Below are 25,254 nucleotides of genomic sequence, written 5' to 3'. Positions count from 1 at the left end.
GTCAGATTCACCAAGGTTGAAATGAAGGAAAAAATGGTAAGGGCAGCCAGAGAGAAAGGTCGGGTTACCCACAAAGGGAAGCCCATCAGACTAACAGCGATCTCTCGGCAGAAACCCTACAAGCCAGAAGAGAGTGGGGGCCAATATTCAACATTCTTAAAGAAATAATTTTCAACCCATAATTTCACATCCAGCCAAACTAAGCTTCATAAGTGAAGGGGAAATAAAATCCTTTACAGACAAGCAAATGCTGACAGATTTTGTCACCATCAGGCCTGCCTTACAAAAATTCCTGAAGGAAGCACTAAACATGGATAGGAACAACCAGTACCAGCCACTGCAAAAACATGCCAAATTGTAAAGACCATCGATGCTAGGAAGAAACTGCCTCAATTAATAGGCAAAATAACCAGATAACATCATAATGACAGGATCAAATTCACACATAACAATGTTAACCTTAAATGTAAATGGGCTAAATGCCCCAATTAAAAGACACAAACTGGCAAATTGGATAAAGAGTCAAGACTCATCAGTGTGCTGTATTCAGGAGACCCATCTCACGTGCAGAGAAACACATAGGCTCAAAATAAAGGGACATAGGAAGATCTACCAAGCAAATGGAAAGCAAAAAAAAAAAAAAAAAAAAAAAAAAAAAAAAAAGGCAGGGGTTGCAATCCTAGTCTCTGATGAAACAAACTGTAAACCAACAAAGATCAAAAGAGACAAAGAAGGCCATTACATAATGGTAAAGGGATCAATTCAACAAGAAGAGCTAACTATCCTAAATATATATGCACCCAATACAGGAGCACCCAGATTCATAAAGGAAGTCCTTAGAGACCTACAAAGAGACTTAGACTCCCACACAATAATAATGGGAGACTTTAACACTCCATTGTCAGTATTAGACAGATAAGGAGACAGAAGGTTAAGAAGGATATCCAGGACTTAAACTCAGCTCTGCAACAAGTGGACCTAATAGACATATCCAGAACTCACCACCCCAAATCAACAGAATGTACATTCTTCTCAGCACCACATCACACTTATTCTAAAATTGACCACATAATTGGAAGTAAAACACTACTCAGCAAATGTAAAAGAACAGAAATCACAACAAACGGTCTCTCAGACTACAGTGCAATCAAATTAGAGCTCGGGATTAAGAAACTTACTCAAAACTGCACAACTGCATGGAAACTGAACAACCTTCTCCTGAATGACTACTGGGTATATAACAAAATGAAGGCAGAAATAAAGATGTTCTTTGAAACCAATGAGAACGAAGACACAACATACCAGAATCTCTGGGACACATTCAAAGCAGTGTGTAGAGGGAAATTTATAGCACTAAATGCCCACAAGAGAAAGCAGGAAAGATATAAAATCAACACCCTAACATCACAATTAAAAGAACTAGAGAAGCAAGAGCAAACAAATTCAAAAGCTAGCAAAAGGCAAGAAATAACTAAGATCAGAGCAGAACTGAAGGAGATAGAGACAGAAAAAACCCTTCAAAAAAATCAATGAATTTAGGAGCTGGTTTTTTGAAAAGATCAACAAAATTGATGTACTGCTAGCAAGACTAATAAAGAAGAAAAGAGAGAAGAATCAAATAGACACAATAAAAAACGATAAAGGGGATATCAACATCGATCCCACAGAAATACAAACTACCATCAGAGAATACTATAAACACCTCTATGCAAATAAACTAGAAAATCTAGAAGAAATGGATGAATTCCTGGACACATACACCCTCCCAAGACTAAACCATGAAGAAGTCAAATCTCTGATTAGACCAATAACAGGCTCTGAAATTGAGGCAATAATTAATAGCCTACCAACCAAAAAAAGTCCAAGACCAGAGAGACTGACAGCCGAATTCTACCAGAGGTACAAAGAGGAGCTGGTACCATTCCTTCTGAAACTATTCCAATGAATAGAAAAAGAGGGAATCCTCCCTAACTCATTTTATGAGGCCAGCATTGTCCTGATACCAAAGTGTGGCAGAGACACAACAAAAACAGAGAATTTTAGACCAATATCCCTGATGAACATCAATGTGAAAATCCTCAATAAAATACTAGCAAACCAAATCCAGCAGCACACCAAAAAGCTTATCCACCAGGATCAAGTGGGCTTCATCCCTGGCATGCAAGGCTGGTTCAACATAGGCAAATCAATAAATGTAATTCAACACATAAACAGAAACAACTACAAAAACCACATGATTATCTCAATAGATGCAGAAAAGGCCTTTAACACAATTAAACAGCCCTTCATGCTAAAAACTCTCAATAAACTAGGTATTGGTGGAACTTACTTCAAAATAATAAATGCTATTTACGACAAACCCACAGCCAATATCATACTAAATGGACAAAAACTGGAAGCATTCCCTTTGAAATCCAGCACAAGACAAGGATGCCCTCTCTCACCACTCCTATTCAACATAGTGTTGGAAGTTCTGGTTAGGGCAATCAGGCAAGAGAAAGAAATAAAGGGTATTCAATTAGGAAAAGAGGAAGTCAAATTGTCCCTGTTTGCAGATGACATAATTGTATATTTAGAAAACCCCATCGTCTCAGCCCCGAATCTCCTTAAGCTGATAAGCAACTTCAGCAAAGTGTCAGGATACAAAATCAATGTGTAAAAATCACAAACATTTCTCTACACCAATAACAGACAAACAGCCAAATCATGAGTGAATTCCCATTCACAATTACTACAAAGAAAATAAAATACCTAGGAATTCAACTTACAAGGGATATAAAGGACCTCTTCAAGCAGAACTACAAACCACTGTTCAACGAAATAAAAGACACACACAAATGGAAGAAAATTCCATGCTCACGGATAGGAGGAATCAATATCATGAAAATGGCCATACTGCCCAAAGTAATTTATAGATTCAATACCATCCCCATCAGACTACCAATGACTTTCTTCCCAGAATAAGAAAAAACTACTTTAAAGTTCATATGGAACCAAAAAAGAGCCCACATAGCCAAGACAATCCTAAGCAAAAAGAGCAAAGCTGGAGGCATCATGCTACCTGACTTCAAACTATACTACAAGTCTACAGTAACCAAAACAGCATGGTACTGGTACCAAAACAGAGATATAGACCAATGGAACAGAACAGAGGCCTCAGAAATAACACCACACATCTACAACCAACTGATCTTTGACAAACCTGACAAAAACAAGAAATGTAGAAAGGATTCCCTATTTAATACATGGTGCTGGGAAAACTGGCTAGCCATATGTAGAAAACTGAAACTGGATCCCTTCCTTCCACCTTATACAAAAATTAATTCACAATGGATTAAGGACTTAAATGTTAGACCTAAAGCCATAAAAATCCTAGAAGAAAACCTAGGCAATACCATTCAGGACATGGGGATGGGTAAGGACTTCATGACTAACACACCAAAAGCAATGGCAACGAAAGCCAAAATAGACAAACAGTATCTAATTAAACTAAAGAGTGTCTGTATGGCAAAAGAAACTACCATCAGCGTGAACAGGCAACCTACAGAATGGGAGAAAATTTTTGCAATCTACCCATCTGACAAAAGGCTAATATCCAGAATCTACAAAGAACTTCAACAAATTTACAAGAAACAAACAAACAACCCCACTGAAAAACAGGCAAAGGATATGAACAGACACTTCTCAAAAGAAGACATTTATGCAGCCAACAGACACATGAAAAAATGCTCATCATCACTGGTCATCAGAGAAATGCAAATCAAAACCACAATGAGATACCATCTCATGCCAGTTAGAAAAGCAATCATTAAAAAGTCAGGAAACAACAGATGCTGGAGAGGATGTGGAGAAATAGGAACGCTTTTACACTGTTGGTGGGAGCGTAAAGTAGTTCAACCTTTGTGGAAGACAGTGTGGCGATTACTCAAGAATCTAGAACTAGAAACACCATTTGACCCAGCGATCCTATTACTGGGTATATACCCAAAGGATTATAAATCACGCTACCATAAAGACACATGCACATGTATGTTTATTGCAGCACTGTTCACAATAGCGAAGACATGAAACCAACCCAAATGTCCATCGATGATAGACTGAATAAAGAAAATGTGGCACATATACACCATGGAATACTATGCAGCCATAAAACAGGATGAGTTCATGTCCTTTGCACAGACATGGATGAAGCTGGAAACCATCATTCTAAGCAAACTATCACAAGGACAGAAAACCAAACACCACATGTTCTCACTCATAGGTGGGAAATGAACAATGAGAACACATGGACACGGGGCGGGAAACATCACACACCAAGTTCTGTTGGGGGGTGGGGGGCTGGGGGAGGGATAGCATTAGGAGAAACACCTAATGTAAATGATGAGTTGATGGGTGCAGCAAACCAACATGGCACATGTCTACCTACATAACAAACCTGCATGTTGTGCACATGTACCCTAGAACTTAAAGTATAATAATAAAAAAAAAAGAATGAAAGTGGTCTGCCATGGGAAACACAGAATATAATAAAGATCAACTATGGAAACAGGGTATGAAGAAGTTAAGATGTGTCTGCACCAAAAGAAAAAAAAATCCTAAACATTTATGCTGTGGGAAAGAATATTAATTCAAACTGTACCTCCAAACCCCATTACCCTTTTCAGCCTCAAAAATATAACCTCCAGCTCTTTTCAGAAAAAATACTAGGTAGTCTTTTAATGACCAGTAGTTCAAATTATCTAATCACTGACACAAAATATCTCTGGCAAAGAAATGTTTGGTTTGAAATAGCTAGAAATTGACTGCCTAAAAAAGGAAACAGGTTTTTAGCGAGATGACATATCACAGTGGCATGCTATAAAGGTACGATCTATAATTTATGAATTGTGAATGAACCAAAGTCTAGCTTAGCTCTCTAAAACTGTGGTTTAGGAAAAAGGGGTGTATATGTACGTGCAGTTTGTGCTGTTCACTGAATTATTATATTGGAAGTCCACACTATATTGTATGACATCCTGCCTATTACTTAGTTTTGATGTAGATATTGGTAATAATGAATTGATGAAGCCCTATTGAGTTTCTTCCTTTTACCTGAAATATGTTCAGTTATATTTTATTGGAATCTAAAAACTTTAAAAATTGGATAGTGTTTTATAAACTACAATCCAATTCCACATTTTAAAAATTAGCACAATGAGGAATAAAGAGGTTTTAAAATTTACATAAAGTCATATAACAGCATCATAAGGAATAGAATACATGTCTTCCAATTTGTAGTTCAATGCAATTTTCACCAACCAACAGCTTTTTCTCCTTAGAATACTGTGAAGGAAATTTGAATTCTATTATCTTCAGAGCATACAAATGTGCTTTTAAGATAATTCTCTGAAGCAAAGAACAGAAAATGAAAACAGTATAGGGTAATACAATTTCTTAGTGCAGAACTAAAAAGAAAAAAATCATTCTAGATTTTACCAGGTTTACTATTATTTATTTTGCTTTTTAAGAATTATTTTAAACTAATGTTACAAATGAAATATTGCTTCACCTTTCAAGCTGATGATAGTAAAAAAGAATGATAATATCCAGAATACATAAGAATATGAAGAAACAGGCACGATCATAGGAAGCAAAAACTGGCACAAACTTTTGGGAGGGTAATTTGACAATACGTATCAAATGTCTTAAACGGTGTCTGCCTTTGAATTGACTATTTTACTTGGAGAAAGTTATCTGCAATGAGTTAGCTGCAGGGATGTTAATTAAAGCAGCGGTCCCCGATCTTTTTGGCACCAGGGACAGGTTCCGTGGAAGAAAATTTTTCCACAGACAGGTAGGAGGGGATGGTTTTGGGATGAAACTGTTCCACCTCAGATCATCAGGCATTAGATTCTCATAAGGAACATGCAACGCAGTTCACAACAGGGTTCATGCTCCTGTGAGAATCTAGTGCTGCTGCTGATCTGACAGGAGGTGGAGCTCAGGTGGCAATGCTAGCTCCTTGCTCACCTCCTGCTGTGACCAGGCCATGGACCAATGCTGGCCTGTGGAGCCCTGCTTTAGAGCATTACTTTCAACAGCTAATTAGAAACATTTAAAATGTCCAGTAATTGGAACTGACTAAAGAAATTACAGTACACAGTAAAGTCACATAATAAAGTATTTTATAACACTAACAATAATGTAGAAGTTGTAAAACATTTAAGATATTTTACATGAGAAAAGAACTGTTCATTTTGATTTTATGTTTATAAAAATATATTGTCATAGGTTGAAAGAAAAATACATCAACTAGAAGAACAGATACATAAAAATATCCACCCACAAGATACAAGATACAGACTTGGTCCTTCCTGTCTTTGGATACTGTAAATGTGAGGATATGATGTTTGGAGCTAATGGAGTCCTCTTTTAACCAGAAAGTGAATTATTACTAAAATTCTGAGAATCACAGAGCAGCAAGATGAAATGCACTTGATAACATTCTTGAACTTTGGAATTAACCTTGAACTTTCCATGTCTGATCTTCTCAATATATGGAATAATAAATTTCTTAATATGAAAAAATAATCCCCCACAATAATGAAGATAGCTAGTTAACTTTAAGGATTATGAATATACTTTTAAAGTATATAGTTAGGACACTCTAAATTCATCTAAGTTATTTTTTAGATAAAATAATGAAAATAGCTAAATGTTTATTTTAAAATCAACCAAAAAGATATTTAATCCCAGTGGAAATGAATATGGGATTTCAGTTTCATCTACAGGTAACTTTAGATGGATACCTGTAGCAATTTTTAAAAGTACTTTGCCCAAGAGTTCCCTGTGAGAGCAGGTTTAGATGTGTAGTAACCTGAGAATCAACTTACCCTCAGTTTTCTTTGAGTCATGGCTGTTTCTAGGGCAATTTCTCTTAACGGATCCCTGGTGATGTCAAGCATGGACGCTTTGATTGTGTCTCCTGGATATAGGCTCAACCGAGACTGTCTAAGGGCCATTTTGGCTTGTAGCTGCATCAGTTCTTCCTCTTGCCGTTTTAGCATGATCTCTTGATTAATTAAGTTGCCTTCAAAGGGTGTTTCATATTGTCTGCTATATAGAAAAGAGGAGACAGGTGAGGATTGGGAGGAAAACAATTGTTTTAAGGCTAATCAAGCAAATTTCATTTTAAGTAAGGTTGCAAGAGTTTAAACAAATTTTATTTTCCCATCTCAGAAGAATCTTTACATTACACAGTATGGTATGAAGAAATATATAGGCTGGGCATGGTGGCTCATGCCTGCAATCCCAGCACTTTGGGAGGTGAAGGCGGTTGGATCGCTTGAGTCCAGGAGTTCGAGACCAGCCTGGGCAACATGGTGAAACCCTGTCTCTACAAAAAAATACAACAAATTAGCTGGCCATGGTGGCACACACCTGTAGTCCTGGCTACTCAGGAGGCTGAGGTGTAGAATTGATTGAGCCTGGGGGTAAGGGGGTTGAGGCTGCAGTGAGCTGGGATGGTATTACTGCACTCCATCCTGGGTGACAGAAGAGAGGAGAGGAAAGGAGAAAAGAGGGGAAGGGGGAAGGGGGAAGGGGAGGGGGAGGGAGAGGGGGAGGGAGCGGGGGAGAGGGAGAGGGGAAGGGAAGGAAATACATATATGATCTTTGTCCCCAGTTCCTGACAAAGAGCTCCTAAAACCCTTGAAGTCTCTTGGGTGTTAGGAGCCTCTTGTTCTAGTAATGAAACTGATCATACTACCTATATAAAACAGAATTTGGACATTACTCCCCGTTCTCCCTATCCCCTTAAGTAGCCTTATTTTTCTTCAAGGCACCATCATTATATGGCAGTATATTATTTACTTGCTTTTTCATGGTTTATTGGCTACTTCTCATTTCCCTCAAGGGACTTTCTGTGTTGTTCACAACTCTATCTCCAGTATCTGAAAGCACCTAGTACATGGCAGGTGCTCAATGATTACCTGTAAAGTCAATAACTGAATGTAATTTTATGGCCCTCTCTCACTTAAGGGGAGGGTCAAAGATAATAATAAGACCTTGAATCTGCACATTTAAACTCAAACCTGTTATTTTCATAAAATATTACAGTCTTTTAGCTAAAATTATTTTACAGCAGAGCTACTAAAAGGTAGCAAAATAATTATCATTGTTATCTCTCCAAATATGATATCTAACCAAAACTTCTATAAAAACTGCAAAGTTTGAGACAAAAATCAAAAACAAAAACAACTCTGTTTGGAGTCAGAAACAAAGGTTACCTCAACAAGCAGAGAGGCACAGAAGCAGTGGGAATGTACTACGTATAAACTTACTTCAAAAGCTAGTACATAAAAAGGCTTAGAAATTCTCTTTGGAAACTACTTTGAATGCCCTTTTTGGTCACTGAAAGACGCTTTTGATAGCTCAGTATAAAAAAATTACTCATTCTGCTGCATCTGACTCATAATTTCCTGTTAATCTCCCCCCATCCCACTATGGTACAAATCAATAGCACTCTCTGGATCTGTTTTGCCATTTTATTCTAGCTAAAGGGAATAGAAACTTTTGTCAAGAAGCATGCAATATGTACAAATACAGCACTATTCATAGATTTTACAAATGTGTGACCTAAAGAAGAAAACAAGACTCCTGATTACGTACCAGCATGTTAGGGATATTATCAGAGTGTGTTCTGCAAGTGAATAGGAATTTGGACAGTATTTTAAGCTAATATGTATTTAAGTGGGCAGAAAAAAGATGGAACTAGTTAAAAGAAATAGAGTTTAGCAACTTAACATTAGATAATACATACATACAACTAACAATCTACTTCCTGAAATATTTTTCTTTCACCTAAACCTATATCTAACTCAGATGCTATGAATACCACATGGGCTTTTTCTCCCCATGAAGTATGAAAAAAAAGACAGTTTACCCCTTAAACATAGATTTGACAAATATGGCGGCCTTAATGTTTCCTTGAATAAAATCTGGAAACAATCAAAATTAGGATTCTCTCATAACCTTGACATTTTTGAGGTTCCTTATCAAGAAAATTAACATAAGGCTCCCAAAATGATTTAATTTCGCTTGAATATGTTTTAAAATTTAAAAATCCAAACCAAATGGGCTGTAAATCAATTGTTAACACATATCCCAGTGCTTCTTCAGGTGTTATCTCTATTTCAGTTGTTTATATTAAAAGCAAGAGTTTTCAATTGGCTAAAGTGGGCATAATAGTAACTACTCATAGGTTCCAAATTAGATGCATAGAGAAAAGTCACTTCTAAAACACATTCTCCCTCAATTCAACACTGAGCTTAGTGCAATTCAATATTGGCTTACTTTTGTTGTTCATCCCCACATGCTTTTGCTTCATTAGAAAAACAGAGTAAACAGACAACCTACAAAATGGGATAAAATATTTGCAAACTATGCATCTGACAAAGGTCTAATACCCAGCATCTACAGGGAACTTAAATTTACAAAAGAAAAACAAACAACTCTATTAAAAAGTGGGCAAAGCACATGAAAGACACCCTTAAAAGAAGATATACATGCAGCCTACAAGCATTGAAAAAAGCTTCATATCACTGATCATTACAGAAATGCAAATCAGAACCACAATGAGATACCATCTCACAACAGTCAGAATGGCTATTATTAAAAAGTAAAAAAATTACAGATGCTGACGAGGTTGCAGAGAAAAGGGAACACTTACACACTGTTGGGAGAGCAAATTAGTTCAATCATTGTGGAAAACGATATGGAGATTCCTCAAAGAGCTAAAAGCAGAACTACCATTAGACCCAGCAATCCCATTACTGGGTATATACCCATAGGAATATAAATCACTCTACCGTAAAGACACATACACACGAATGTTCACGGCAGCACTATTTACAATAGCAAAGAATGGAATCAACCTAAATGTTCAGAATGACAGATTGTATAAAGAAAATGTGGTACATATACACAATGGAATACTATACAGCCATAAAAAAGAATGAGATCATGTCTTTTGTGGGAACATGGATAGAGGTGGAGGCTATTATCCTTAGCAAACTAATGCAGGAACAGAAAACCAAATACCACATGTTCTCACTTGTAAGTGGGAGCTAAATGATAAGAACTTCTGAACACAAAGAAGGAAACAACTGATACTGGGGTCTACTTGAGTGGGGAGAGTGGGAGGAAGGAGAGGAACAAAAAAGATAACTGTTGTGTACTGGGCTTAATACCTGCTTGACAAAATAGTATGTATACAAACCCCTGTCACGTGTTTATATAACAAACCTTCACATGTACCCCCAAACCGAAAATAAATGTTAAAAAATAAAAAGAAAACTGTAACGTAAAGCATAGATCTTTGTCTCCTACCTCTTTGTTCAAAAGTATCAAAATGGGGTCATCACAAGGACACAGTAATATAAAATGCTATTATGCAAATATAGATTGCTTTAGGTAAATGAATACTTACTGGAGTTTTCCTCAAAGAAAAAAATTATAGACTATTTTAAAAAGTACAAAAAACAAAAGAAACAACTTTAATTAAAAGTGGACCTTTAGGCCAGGTGCAGTGGCTCCCACCTGTAATCCCAGCACTTTGGGAGGCTGAGGTGGGTGGATAACTTGACGTCAGGAGTTCAAGACCAGCCTGGCCAAAATGGTGAAACCCCACCTCTACTGAATATACAAAACTTAGCCGGGCATGGTGGCAGGTGCCTGCAATCCCAGCTACTCGGGAGGCTGAGGCAGGAGAACTGCTTGAACCTGGGAGACAGAGGTTGCAGTGAGCTGAGATAGCGCCACTGCATTACAGTCTGGGCAGCAAAGCGAGACTCTGTCTCAAAAAAAAAAAAAGTGGACCATTAACTAAAGAATAATTTTAGTGTAAAGTATTTAATTACGTACACTCTAAACTGTGAATAGTCTGTTTTAATCACATGGCTAGGGTTACCTGATCTATTAATAGTTTACAGGTGTGAAACAGTGTCTGGCAGAATTAATTAGCTAAGGGGCAAGTTTCTGTTTATTTCTAAATGATTCTTTTCTATTTGGTAGCATCTGAATTAAACAAACTGAAATACAGAATTAGAAAGGATTCCCACATTTTAGAAGTAAATTCTCAAGCAACCTCTTGTTCTCTAATATATTACAAATTTGAAATTAATGCTTAGCATTAACTACATCTTTTGTTCATGTAAGGGACCTGGGCATACACGACAAAGACACACATCACTATTGACTTGACACCTTTCAGTTTAAACAACATAAATCAACACACAGCTATAATACCACCATCCTAAGCTGAGCACAAACATAATACTAACACCTTATAAGAAATTCACTAAGTATGTCAGTATAAAAATGAACTCTAAATAGCCTAAATCAGGCTTTAAAAAAAAGTACCACATAACCTCTTTTAAGCCAGGAAAGATACAGTGAATAATTAACCTTTTACATAATAGGTTACTTAGTAGTAACCTACTCACTATTCATTCAACAAATAAATACTCACTGAAAGCTTGCTGGCTGAGACTATTCCAACCTTTCAAGAAAGGTATCTTAGAAATCAAGGTTTCCTATCTTCTCACAGATTTTTAATCCCATGCCTTGACCTTCCTGTTATTTTATATTCATATTGATAATTTTAAAAATCAAGCACAACTATAAATAATTAGAGCCAATCATGATTTTAAAAGATTCCAATACTTTGTCTTTCATATAATTGATGAATTTCTGAGAACTTTTATAAAAACAAAGAGAGCTAGGGGAAAGGAAGAGAAAAGGAAAATGCAAAAAATAAAGGAAAAAGGATAGTAAAAAAACAAATTCTACTTGATTCACACCTGTAATCCCAGGACTTTGGGAGGCTGAGGCGGGTGGATCACTTGAGGTCAGGAGTTCGAGACCAGCCTGGCCAATATGGTGAAACCCCATCTCTACTAAAAATTCAAAAATTAGCCAGGCACATTGGTGCATACCTGTAATCCCAGCTACTCGGGAGACTGAGGCAAAAGAATTGCGTGAACCTGGGAGAAGGAGGTTGCAGTGAGCCGAGATTGCGCCACTGCACTCCAGCTTAGGCAACAGAGCAAGACTCCGTCTCAAAAAAAAAAAAAAAAATTCCATTTAATTCAAATAAAAAACAAACACTGGTCACTGGAAATGTATCATCACTACTTTTTCATGACATACCTCGGTCTCTGTGACTGGCCTTGACTTAAGGTTTCATCTACCCCTGGGAGACCACTGCTGGATTCAAACCTCTTTGAGGCTTCACTTCTTCTCACTAATTATGAATGAAAAAGAAATAATGGCACAGGTGATAGAAACATGAGAGTAATTTCATTTAAAACTCAAACACTTAGCAGACATAGAGTTGTACAAATCTAATCCACAGAACAAAATTAATGACATAATGTTATTAAACTCTTTTGAGGTAAATCATGTTACTTTTAAAGACAATGAATTATTATCTCTGTAATGAAAAGGACTACATCGTTATTTGAAGAAACTGCTATTTAGTTTCTATAATACTACTACTGAGTAACCAGCAGCTTTTTTAAATTTTTCAATTTTATACAGTATTATTCTTTCTGGCAATTTATATTAATATTTGAACACTATTGAAAATAATAATAATCGTGGTTTCTTAAAAACAGTTTGCTTGTTTCAGATGCCTCCTACCTTGTCTGAAATCTGATTCAGAGGAAATAATAGATGGACTTTCACTGGAGGTACTAAAGACATCACCATGATAAGTTTTGTATCTTCGAACTGGTTCTAAAAGGATTAAAACAAAAAGATTAGAAAGCAAACTCATTAGCTATTCCACATAAATCAAAATATTAATTTTAATCCTGTGGGACTAAAACATTTTATACATTGCTTTAAATTTACCAATTGCTGGAGTGTATTCAAATAATGCGTTCCAATAATGGGTTTAGTATACTGGTTATGAGCACGGACTCTGGAGCCAGACTGCCTCAGTTTGAATCAGTTCCACCACTTTCTAGTGTGTGACCTTAGGAAAGTAATTTAATCTCCCCATGACTCTTCTTTTAATTCAGCCAAAGAGGGGGTATAATAATAGTGCACATCGCATAAGGTTGTGAGAATTAAATGAATTAACATACACGAAGCTTTCAGAGCACACACTATGTAAGCATCATTATCACAGTTTTTCAATGTTTACTATGTGTAATTCTCTGTTAGATTCTATAAGGAATAGACAATCTAAAGACACAACAATCTCAAAGAATTTGAAATGTGGAAGACAAGTACCCCAATATTGACACAGAATGCTTAGTTCCACCAGAATAAGATAAGCATTTGGAAGGGGGTACTGTGTAGGTTTGTGCAGAGTGTGCACTGTACAAGAGGGCCGAGCCCAGGGGCAAGTGTGGACTAGAATCTAAATCCTACCTTCTAAGTATTTCTGAACCATCCCCTCTTCTTCAGCTGCATTGTTTCTATCACTGAGCACTATTCATGTCACTCCTGAACTACTACCTGTCTCCTAAATCCCCTTTCTGCAGTTTTGCTCCTTTACATAATTCACATTATAGAAAGTTAACTTCCCAGAAATGAAAATCTGAGCTATTATATTTCTTAAAATCCTTGAAACTAGAGTCTTCAACATACAGTTTAAAAAAACTTCTTAGCTTGGTATTCAAAGCCTTTTATAAGCTGGTCCTCAACTAGATTTATTTTATTTTTTAGAGACAGGGTCTCATTCTGTTGCCTAGGCTGGAGTGCAGTGGTGCAGTCATAGCTTACCGCAGTGCTGGACTCCTGGGTTCAAGCTATCTTCTCGTCTCAGCCTCCCAAGTAGCTGGGACTAGAAGCATGTGCCACCACGCCTGGCTCCCAACTACATTTATAGCAGTGTCTCTTTATATTTTGAAGTCACAGATTCATTTGTGAGAATTGGGCAAAAAGTATATATATGTACACATACACACAATATATAAAAGACACACATACATATATATAATCAAAGTTTTGAGGAGTGGGAACACATACTCACACATATATTTTTTCCATCTCCTATATATACACATATATACACACACACGTATATACACACACACATACACACAAACACAACAATTTAAATATAAATTTAAAAACTCAATTCAGGTAAAAGCCTTATCTCCATCCACTTCCCTAAACGAATTCTGTACCTGTGTTACTAAATTTGCAGATAATCAAAAGCATATTAACTTTTAGCTTCCTTTCTGAAGGATACCTTCTGTTAGAAACACCGCTCTTCCCCTTCTTCTTTACCTGAATATCTTTTTTTTCCTTAACCTTTAAAGGAAGCCTCTATCTAAAAGCTTCTATGACCACATAAAGGCTGAGTTAGACATTGCTCCTCTTACTTTCACGTTGCCTCATGCTTAATTGCAACTCTTACACTACTTTGTAGTTCTCTACTTGTTTGTTTCCTCAACTAAATTATAAGTTCTCTGAGAAAAAGAATGTTGTCTTTTTTAGATGTACTTCTAGTACCTAGTCTAGCAAGTACCTGGTACATAGCAAGCACAAAATGAATATTTTCTGAGTGAATAAATGTATATAAGTGGTATATAAAGGTCATTGGTGACCTTTAAGACAACTATTTTCATTGCATGAACAGGTCAGAGGCCAAATCAGAGAGGGTTAAAGAAGGACTAGATGGTAAGAATTTGAGAGAATGAGTATCCAGTATTCTTTCAAGAATTTTGAGGATTTGGGAAGCAAAAAGAGGTTAAAAAAATAGATTTTCCCCCCCACAGAAGAATGTCTGTGCTTGATTTCAGGTGGTGGATAATAAGCCCGTTGAGTGGGAGAGACTGAAGTTGCAAATGGTAGTGGGAAAAACTGATTAAAAAAAATGTTTTGAAGGAAACAGGAGATGGAAAAAAGAACACATGTGGGACGAGTAGACTGGCAAGGAGGAAAAATCGTACCTTCTTAAAAGAGGTAACTAACAGACAAGGGAAAAGGTGAAAATACAGAGGCAATCCCAAGATATTCATATCATAATGTTGCCTGGAAATAAAAAGTCAATCACCTCTTGGGAGCCTGTTTGGCTAAGGCTTGAGAAGATTAAAGAAATTCTGACATGAACAATGTTGATAAAAGTCAGCAAAAAGTACATGAAAGCTTTCATGTAGCCATGAAGATGTAGGGTAGGCTAGAATACCTAAATTTTAGTGGAACCAATTAGAATTTTCTTGTGTCTTTTTTTTTTTTTTTTGACACTGAAGAAAGGAGACCCTGGGAAGTATCTAAAACTGGGGAGTGACACGAAGTGCACGGCAGTAGAGAATCAAGGTGGGTGAGGAATTCTTTTTTGCTAGTCTGCAAACCTGAGGACAGTCTTCATTCACATGATGAATTATTCCTTATGTTGGAAGGTGTTTAATAGAGATTCTTAACAGAAAAAGAATAATAAGTGAAATAGTTAAATGGTACCATAGAAACCAGGTTTGTGGAACCAGAATAGGGATGATGAACTGGAAATTGAGAGTTCACGCCCCAAGAAAGGATAAGAGTCACATTGAGACAAAGCTTTAAATAAATGCGAGAAGAAGTATAGATGACTGGCCACAGACTCCATGGACAGAAAGTTCTGCACTGTTTCTAGGATAATGTTTACTTGGAGAACTAGGAATAATATTGCATACTTGACTTTGTCTGGCTTTGTGTATGGTGAACAGAAATATCAATAATACTACCATTGAGTTTTAGAATTGAAAAATCAAGGTATTTACCAGTACTTTTTTTTTTCTAAATGATTGCATCCTACCACAGGAAAGTCTTATGATAAAATAAACAATTTAAAATAATCCTCTGGCTCATTATGAATGTAATTTGAATGGACTGTAGAGATGGAAAACAATAATTTTATTTAATACTAATTTAAATTGAATGAATACAGTACATTATATGCAAGTTATATTTTTACTTAAGAGGAACTGCCATTTTCAAGGAACACCAAAGTACATTTGTTTTATTGTTACAGAATCCTCATGCTAAATTTTTAAGGGACTTTTCCAAAAAAACTTAACCAAATTGCAAACCCGGAATTGCAACATACAGGACAATAAGACCAATAAGGCCATGGATAAGAACCAAATCTAAACAGGCAGTATGGTTTTAATACCTTACAGAGAAAAGTAGAAGTCACAATAAACCTGTTCAATAAAATGAGTAAAGAACTTTTAGTCACTTGGATGTTATGCCTTGTTACAATTTCACACCCCATATTAAGTAATAAATGAATTTACTGTTTCACAGCTATTTTTGCAAAGTGGCTGTAAGATCATAAATAAATTTTAATCTGAATTTCCATTCTTTGGTGGTACTTTATAATTGTTCTTATATTGTTTCACATATCCATATTTCCTCACCCTTACTACTACCCTATGTTTTATTTTCTTTTTTCTTCAGTTCATTCTGACACTACTAATAAACTTTTTTCAATCTCTGGGTTCCTTCTGTAAAACAAACAAATGCAACTTTGACTAACCACTCTTAAAAACATAATAAATCATTTTCTCTTCATGAACTATTGGTCTGTAAATGTTTTCAGTAATACACCTTCGGGGAGGAGGTTATTACCTTATGATACTTTACTGCTTTATAGTAATAGAGCACTGGTACTCCAAAACACAAATGGGATAACTTGCTTTGCCTACCAGGGGTAGAAAGACTTTTTTCTTTTTCTTCAAATACTGGGGTAGGGGTGGGTGTATCTATGTTAACTGAAGTAGTAAGAATCTTTTTTGTGAGCTTCTTGTGTTCTGAAGTGTGTCTTGGAAAATTTATGAATAATAAATTTAACGTTTTCAGGTGTTGTTATAAAATTACATGTTCTTTACCAAGAGAATCTTGCAGTGGTATATATGGAGAGGCACATTTTCCATGTTTACAAGTCATCTGAGCAGAAACATTTCTTGGTTCTCTGAGATGACCTGCACATAAAGGTATCTAGTAGGCACTAACCAGATAGAAGTGGTTTTCTTCCTCTGTTCTGGTCTGTTGAAGAGAGGTAATATCTAATTGTCAATGAGGTATGCTAACATTACTAACTATTTTTCTTTTTAGAGGATTCAGACACACAAACATGTTTTCTATTTTTGAGTGTATAATTCCAGCACTTTAGATTTGATACAGATCCCAGGAATGTGGTATTAATCGGGTGATTTTCAAAAAACTGTTTATTATGGAAACTTCAAACAGACACAAAAATAAAGAGTATAATGAATCTTCATGTACCCATTTCCCAGTACCAACAAAACCTGGCTGGTATTTTAACTAGAATGTATCAGACTATTTTTTTAAACCAAAAAGATGCTTCTACATACTTACAGAATATTACAAAGTTTTCTGAATGCCAAAATTCTTGAATCATGTGCAATGGACCTATTAGGATAACCAATACACATTAAATGCATGTGTAGCCACCTTCATTGCAATGTTATAACTGTAATGGTAAAATTTTAAGCTTTCACCATTACAGGTGTCAGACTGAATTTATTTGCCTTTTGTGGGGCTGAAAATTAGTTCTCAATATCTAATTTGTTGGTTTGCAAATTTCTTTTCTCAGCTAGTAAATATCTAAGTGAAGCCTACAATGTAAAAATTAGTGTACTAGGGTCCATTTAGAATCATAATTATTCCTTATTTTACTAGACAATTTCCTTCTTTTTGACTTCCTATGAGTACTTTAGTTTTCAGTTACAGAAAATGAAGTTTCAGCAAAAAATCACAGTGTTAGAAATATTAATGAGAAGAAAAGAGCGAATGGGAGAGTAAAATCAGCCTTAGTACATCACCAAATGTGATGTCACCAAAAAAGAAGTACCATATAGGGTGTGTGTAAATAAATGTACATAAACACATAAAACTTATATCAATATATTCTCTCCAAAACCATTTTGTAGAATAGTCATGAAAGAATGAAAACAATAAGGACTAATGAAGAATGGCTTAAAGAATTAAGATTTGGGCCATCATGTTGGGTTACGTCTGTAATCCCAGCACTTTGGGAGGCTGAGGCAGGTGGATTGATCGAGCCCAGGAGTTTGAGACCAGCCTGCTTACCTACCTACCTATTTATAGGCCATTTTATATTTCCTTGCCTTTATTCAGACAGCAATCTGCCTTAAGACTCAAAGCAACATGGTGAAACCCCATCTCTCCAAAAAAAAAAAAAAAAAAAGGCAATAATTAACCAGGTGTGGTGGCACATGCTTGTAGTCCTAGATACTTGAGAGGCTGAGGCGAGAGAATTGCTTGAGCCCAGGAGGCAGAGGTTGCAGTAAGCTAAGACGATGCCACTGCACCTAGCCTAGGAGACAGAGCGAGACCCTCTCTCAAAAAAAAACCAAAAAACAAAGAATTAAGATTTGGACAGAAGTCTAGTTATACAGATTCTATAATCATTAGAAGATGTCCTTTCATCTCTAGTACTATTTTACCATAATTAAGAGTATACTATTTTTTGTCAGAATGAGGTATAAAAACTTAACAAATATTTTATTAGCTTTTATCTGTAATCTTATCCTCTGAACAAAATTCACAGTGACTCTATTATATTGATGCCATTTATACAGCAACAATGAAAAGCCATTTTTCAATAGGCAAGTGTGTTTTGCCATAAGTTCTTGACAACTGAAAGTCTCAATTTCTACCACCACTTAACACAATTAGCACTTTTACCATATAAAGTTGTGGCATGTGACCATGTACACTATACTTTAAATGTTTAGGAGATCAGACTTGGATTATGAAGATTTGCATAATATTCTGGCCTTATATAAAGCTATTTCAAATGAAACATTAAAGTCTACAATTTTCACATTAAGATGAATCTAAGCCAACACAAATTGTAATCTAGAAACACCATTTACAAGTGACACATATTCAAGCTCAGACAAGTAATATGCAGAAAGTGAGACTCAGCCAATTGCAACAAGAATTAAATAACCACTTTTACCTTGACATTTCTTTACCTTTAATACATGACCCAAATTACAGACACAAGTTTCGAAGAGAAATAAAATGACTGCTTTTGTAGTGCAGAAGTATAAAACATTTTTAAAATCTCACATTTTTAAAGATATGGGTCCTAACAAAATATTTCAATTTTCAAACAAAGCAGAGAAACACAGTAATAATATTATGTATTCATATATTAAGTGTTCTTTTCTATGCTTCCTTTATGGGAGAATAATTTTGGGAGATTAGCGACTGTACCTTTTGTGTTTATTAGTCTACTGTATTCCATATTACACCACATTGCAATCAATAGAATATGTTCTAAAATCCCTTGAGAGCTAGACATAATGAATAAAATTTTTAACCTGGGTGAACAAAGCTCATACAAGAGTGAATGTATGTAAGTAAAGAAGGATATATGAAGAAGTGCTCTGTAAACAAACTGTTAGTCACTCTATAGATCTAAAATATATGCAGAGTAGGGATATCAAAAAGAATGAACAGTTTCCACCTCCTTCTATGGGGGTCTTGTGTGATATAGTAGCCACATAGCTGGGCTGTGACATCGGCTAGGCTCACTGTATCACTCTTTCAGAATCTTCAAGGATTCACTGTTGTTACGACTTCACTGTCTTTTTCAAAACTTTCAAAGAGTACAGAGTTCAATAGGAAATGAATTACATTCTCTGTTGGTTGTTCAGGTTATATGTGAAAAGTATGTGAGTTTACTCTTATGAGTTGGACAAAACGGAGGAAGAGGAGGTGTGATTTGTCCTCACTATAACTTGCCAGAGAATATTGTTGTAACCCATTATCTGAAATAGCACCACTGCATATATTAAAATTCTTTAATAGCCACATTGTAATACTCCATTTATATTAACAAACACTTACTGAGTACCTATTATATGTCAGGTATAGTGGCAGATGCTAAGGATACAGCTATGAATTAGATAAGGCCAAATTTTTGAGGTCTGTACGAGGAAAGACAAGCTCCTGAAAAGCAATAATTTCAATGAAAAACAGCCCATCATCATCCTAAACTGGGGAGGTGAGAGAAAGATTCCTGAAACATCAGTGTCCGAAAGCTTTGAATCTTAAGGCAGATTGCTGTGTGAATAAAGGCAAGGAAATATAAAATGGCCTATAAATAGGTAGATAGGTAAGTAGGCAGGTAGATCTATCAATCAATCATCTATCTATCCACGCATCCATCCACACAAGTGTGTGTTTGTGTGTGTGTGTGTGTATGTGTGTGTGTATGTATTTCTTTTTCTCTACATACACACAAATTCAGAGCTGGGGAGGCAAGGAGGGAGGAAAAGTGTGTAAGAGAGTAAGAAAGAAGGGAGTGGGGAGGAGAGAAAGAAAAAGGGAGGGAGGGAGACAGGGAGAAAGGGAGAGAATGATAGTATGAGGTGTGATATGGGAAATGCTAAAAGATGAGAGGAGAGATATAATCATGGGGAACCTTAAGTATGATGATCCAAGGAGCTAGAATTTTATCCTGTTCAGGTGATGGAACATTGGTAAATGGCTGATAGCAGAGAATAAAGGTATTCAAACTTGCACGGCAGAGAGACAAATGGAGAGACAAGGGGACTGGGATGAAATAAGGAAACACTTAAGTTTAAAATTGCTGGGTCTTAAAAAATGTGATGATACCTATTGTTAGTAAGATCCATTTTCGATCTTTCTTAAGACATATCAATCCGTCCTTAGAGAGTGGCTATGTCAAAGCCAAACTGGGTCTATGTGAACCATGCTATGAGTAGATTTAAATTAGGTCTCTCATTTCCAATAAAGGAACATATTATTTCTGTGAACTCTGATCTCACGTTATCATGAGTACAGACACTGGAAAGTCTGTATTGGTTTGACCTTTAATTTTCCCTAGTATTTAAAAATGTAATTTTATTTTTCCACTTGGATAAACCGAAAGAAGAGAAGTAAATATACATTCTCAGTTGTATTCTTACTTAAACTAAATAACGATTTATTGCTCACCATCTCCCAAATGGTTCTAAAGCCACTCTTTCCTCAACTGAGTGTTGGTATTTTATACTGACCTAATATCATATGGGAATAGTCTAAAGCTGCACTGTCCAATATGGTGACTACTAGCCACATGTAACTATGTAAGTTTAAATAAAATATTCAGTTCCTCAGTTGCACTACCTACATTGCAAGTGCTCCATAGTCACATGTAGCTAGTAGCTACTGAGTTGGACTGTGCAGATATAGACTATTTCCTCCATTGAAGAAATTCTGTTGGACAATACTGGTCTAAATTACAAATCTCTTTAAAATCCAGCCATGGAAACACAGTAGACACTTCTTTCCTTTCTAAGATGTTGATTCTATCTACATTATAATTCAGAGAAACAAAATATATTTGCATCTCATTTATAATCTAATACTTAAGATTTCTTAATCTAGTAATTAAGTCATTAATGCCTGAAATACATGTGGTATTTGACCAATATTACAGAAAATCCCTGCTTATTCTCATTTACTTTTGTGGAACTGATATAAATCAAATAGAAATTTAATATTAAAATTATTTATTTTAGCTCACGGAGTAACTTAAATAATAACTCAATCATTTTTTTCTTGCTATTCAAAGGGAAGTAAAGAAATACTAGTTTTAGAATTTAAAAAAGATGTTTTGAAAAAATATATATATCTCCATAAAATTATTAAGATACTAAAAGTACCACACATAATACTTGAACATGAACTCACACACTTATAAATTCATCCCTTTGCTTTTCTTAAGCGTAACTGTAAGAATGTAAACTTTTAAATTCAATCTTCTCAAATGAAACATTAAGGTTCCTCAAATGAGAATGGGTTCCCATACTTGAGTGTTTACATATTCTAGTTGCACAACATAGAGTCTAAGCTGTGTTCACAGGGCAGTCACAGGATAGCAAAACTAGGCTAGGACCAGAGATCACACTACTAGAAGGAAGAAAACAATATTTCATTTTGATGTGAACTAGGTTGATTAACAGCCCATTAAACAAATAACACTTAACTATAGCCACTTTTGTAGAAATTAGTTGTATCTGTTCTTCATACTTTCCTTTCTAGTATTGTGCAGAATGCAGAGGAGTTGCAACTGTTGGAAGCCAAATGCTATTAATGATCCCCACCCAGGGTGTGGGAGTACTGCTCACTCTGTACTCACAGTACTGGTTCCAAGTCAATCTCTCATAATCAGGAATCTACTGCCAACCCACAGAGCAATGGATAGGGCGTGTATGGTAATCACATTACAAGAAAGACAGAAAGAGACATTTGTCAGATACTCCTATTAGAAAACAGACAACTACTCAGATCTTGGGATGGAGTTGAAGAGGTAGAAAATAAAATACTGAGAAAAAAGAGGAGAATTAGATAGTCCTGTGCTGAGGTGAAAAAAAAGTAGAATTAAAAGAATGAAGCAAAAAAGGGCAACATCAAATTTTAAAACTAGTTTCTACAAGAGAAACCTAAGTTATGTTTCTTCCTGCCCCTTCCCTACTGCTTTACGTATGTAGAGAACTATCTGAAAAGTTAACTTAATAATCGCAGTAATAATCTTCTATTTATAATTTTTCAATTTCAACTACAATTTCTTTCTTGAGATCTTTTTTGTTCCTATCTCATTTTGTTCCCAAAGAAATCAGACCACTCAATGCCAATCACTGCTTTTTGATAATTTATGGCCTATCTGGTCAGTCATAGGATTAGCTGCCTTAAAGATTCGACCATAGTAGAACCCCACCAAAATACTATCTACCACAATAGATAACATAATGGAGTTCCACCTTAACCCCTGCACCTTATGGTTTAATACAGAAAAAACCAAAAGTGCCTCATTTTAGCCTTTCCTAATACTATCTTGTTTCACTGTATTAAAAATTATATAATTTTTTTAAGGAGAGACTTAAGGGACTTGGAAGGCAGTTAGTTGAATGTCCAATGTCCCAGGCAGTAACAACATCTTTTCAACCATGTATCTGACATGTATCTGGTCTCTTCTTTAAATCAGGACAGCAGAGTGGAAGAATCTTATAATTGGGCTCTAGAGACTGGGATTCAAAATATGGCTCTGTTATGAATTATGAATTATGTATCTCCTTTGGCAAACTAGTCTACTTCTCTGGACCTCTGAAAATGAGATGTTTGGTTTAAATGGTATCCAGATTCCTTCCACTTCCAAATTCCATGATTTGAAGGTCTTGTGTCCCTTATGCTAGTTAGCTAGTTGATGTTGTTAGCTGGGGAAATGCTGAGGAGATTATTTAGGTAAAGGATCCTTTCAAGAGAATGGGGCCTGGGTTAAGGAAAAAGCTATATTATCAGAGGTTGGAGGAGAAAACTGTTTATTAACTCAATAACCCTCCTAGAACACCCAAAGAACAAATTAAAATTTAGCAATTTTGTTTCTTCCAATTATTATATCAGCTCAAGGAATGTGAGAATACATCCTTTTTTTTTTTTAAGTCACATGTAGTGGGAAATCCTTAGACTGATATTCTGAAAATCCATGATGAAAATCTACAATCTCCAAAATAATAAAACTCTATCTTTAACTCATTATGTGATCTTAGGTATGTTATTAAATCTTTACAAGCCCAAGAATATGTTTCGATAACATGTGCTCTAAGACCTCTTCTAATTCTATAATTACTGAAACCCATTAGCAGCTGCCAAATTTAAAGATCACAAAAATTGTACAAAACATTTCTTTTTAAAACTTTTAAAACACAAATAGTTTAAGAAAGAAATGTGTACAATAAAATGTATACATTGATATTTACAGTTCTGCTTGATTTATCACACATAAAAGGGATCTGTGAAGCCTGTCTCTCACTAGAATTAAATGAGAAAAATGGGATTTACATGATTTTCTATTCTTTTTTCTTTGTATAGTAGCTAAAATCTTCATATTAACAAGCTGCACGTTTGTTTGCGCATGTCTTTTTTTTTTTTTTTGAGACGGAGTCTTGCTCTGTCACCCAGGCTGCAGTGCAATGGCACGATCTTGGCTCACTGCAACCTCTGCCTCATAGGTTCAAGTGATTCTCCTGCCTCAGCCTCCTGAATAGCTGGGACTACAGGCATGTACCACCACACCAGGCTAATTTTTGTATTTTTAGTAGAGATGGGGTTTCACCGTGTTAGCCAGGATGGTCTTGATCTCCTGACCTCGTGATCTGCCCGCCCTGGCCTCCCAAAGTGCTGGGATTACAGGCATCAGCCACCGCGCCCAGCCTTGTTTGCAACATAAATTACCTCACCTTTAGAAAAAGCACAGCATAAGACCAGCAAGTTACTCAACTAAATAACTAGTAAGAATTAGTGCTTTTGAATTCTAAACTTCTAACATTCCTTTTGATTAATGCCTGTAGTCTAAAGCAAACATAATTTATTGCTGCTTTCAAGTTACTATATAATAATGGAGGTTTAAGGTAGTGTATTTCCATAATAATCCAACATTTTTAGGTGTTTGTTTAACTGGGTTGTAAAATATCCTCTGGGGGAATAATGGGTAGGTTCTTCATGAGAGCAAATGCTTTTGAAAACCCTAGTTAAAAAGATTTCAAGATTGTCCTATATCGAACAATTGAAAGCAGATTTTTTTTTAAAAAGCTTTTCTTTTGTTTGTGCATCCTATAACAAATACGAAATTTCTAAATCTGGAAATGATGTATCAAATACGTAATTACCTTTTGAACAAATAAGGCTCTACAAGAATTATGTATCATCTTTGCAGATATAAAAGCATATGTAGAAATAAGATGGTCTGAGTTTCCTTAACACTTATACACATGTGCATACACATTAACTGAGAAGATAATAGAATCATATGCTACAATAGTCTAATATATTTTGTTATTGGTAATGAAAAACAAACGAAATATATTAAATAGACTATTATGGTATAATTTAACAGATTAAATACGTTTCCATTAATGTTTGATGTTTTTCCTGTTTAACTCTCAAACCAAGGTTCAAGTATAAAAAAAAAATCTCAAGCTTTGCTAATTCACATTACTACTAATTTACCAAATATCAAGACAAGTAATGTTTTGAAACTTAGATCACACATAAAAACATTAGAAATTATAATGATTATTATTTGAGACGGAGTTTCGCTCTTGTTGCCTAGGCTGGGGTGCAATGGCGCGATCTCGGTTCACTGCAACCTCCACCTCCTGGGTTCACTTGATTCTCCTGCCTCAGCCTCAGCCTCCCAAGTAGCTGGGATTACAG

The 25,254-nt window shown here is 35.7% G+C and overlaps 1 protein-coding gene across 24 annotated transcripts in view; it reads right to left on the bottom strand.

Annotated features, from left to right (window-relative positions):
- Nucleotides 1-25,254, bottom strand: part of PTPN13 (protein tyrosine phosphatase non-receptor type 13) — a 220,847-nt gene that overhangs the window by 85,855 nt on the left and 109,738 nt on the right. For all 24 annotated transcript variants that reach the window (XM_011532165.3, NM_080685.3, XM_017008511.3 and 21 more), the window contains 3 exons: nt 12,682-12,777; nt 12,190-12,283; nt 6,873-7,095 (listed from right to left, as the gene is read on the bottom strand). In XM_011532165.3, coding sequence (XP_011530467.1) covers nt 6,873-7,095; nt 12,190-12,283; nt 12,682-12,777 — 413 coding nt within the window. The remainder of the gene's footprint in view (nt 1-6,872; nt 7,096-12,189; nt 12,284-12,681; nt 12,778-25,254) is intronic.

Source organism: Homo sapiens, chromosome 4, assembly GCF_000001405.40.
Source record: "Homo sapiens chromosome 4, GRCh38.p14 Primary Assembly".
Taxonomy (NCBI): Eukaryota; Metazoa; Chordata; class Mammalia; order Primates; family Hominidae; genus Homo; species Homo sapiens.
The sequence above is the reverse complement of the archived record's forward strand: the minus strand, read 5'-3'. Positions and strand labels throughout refer to the sequence as shown.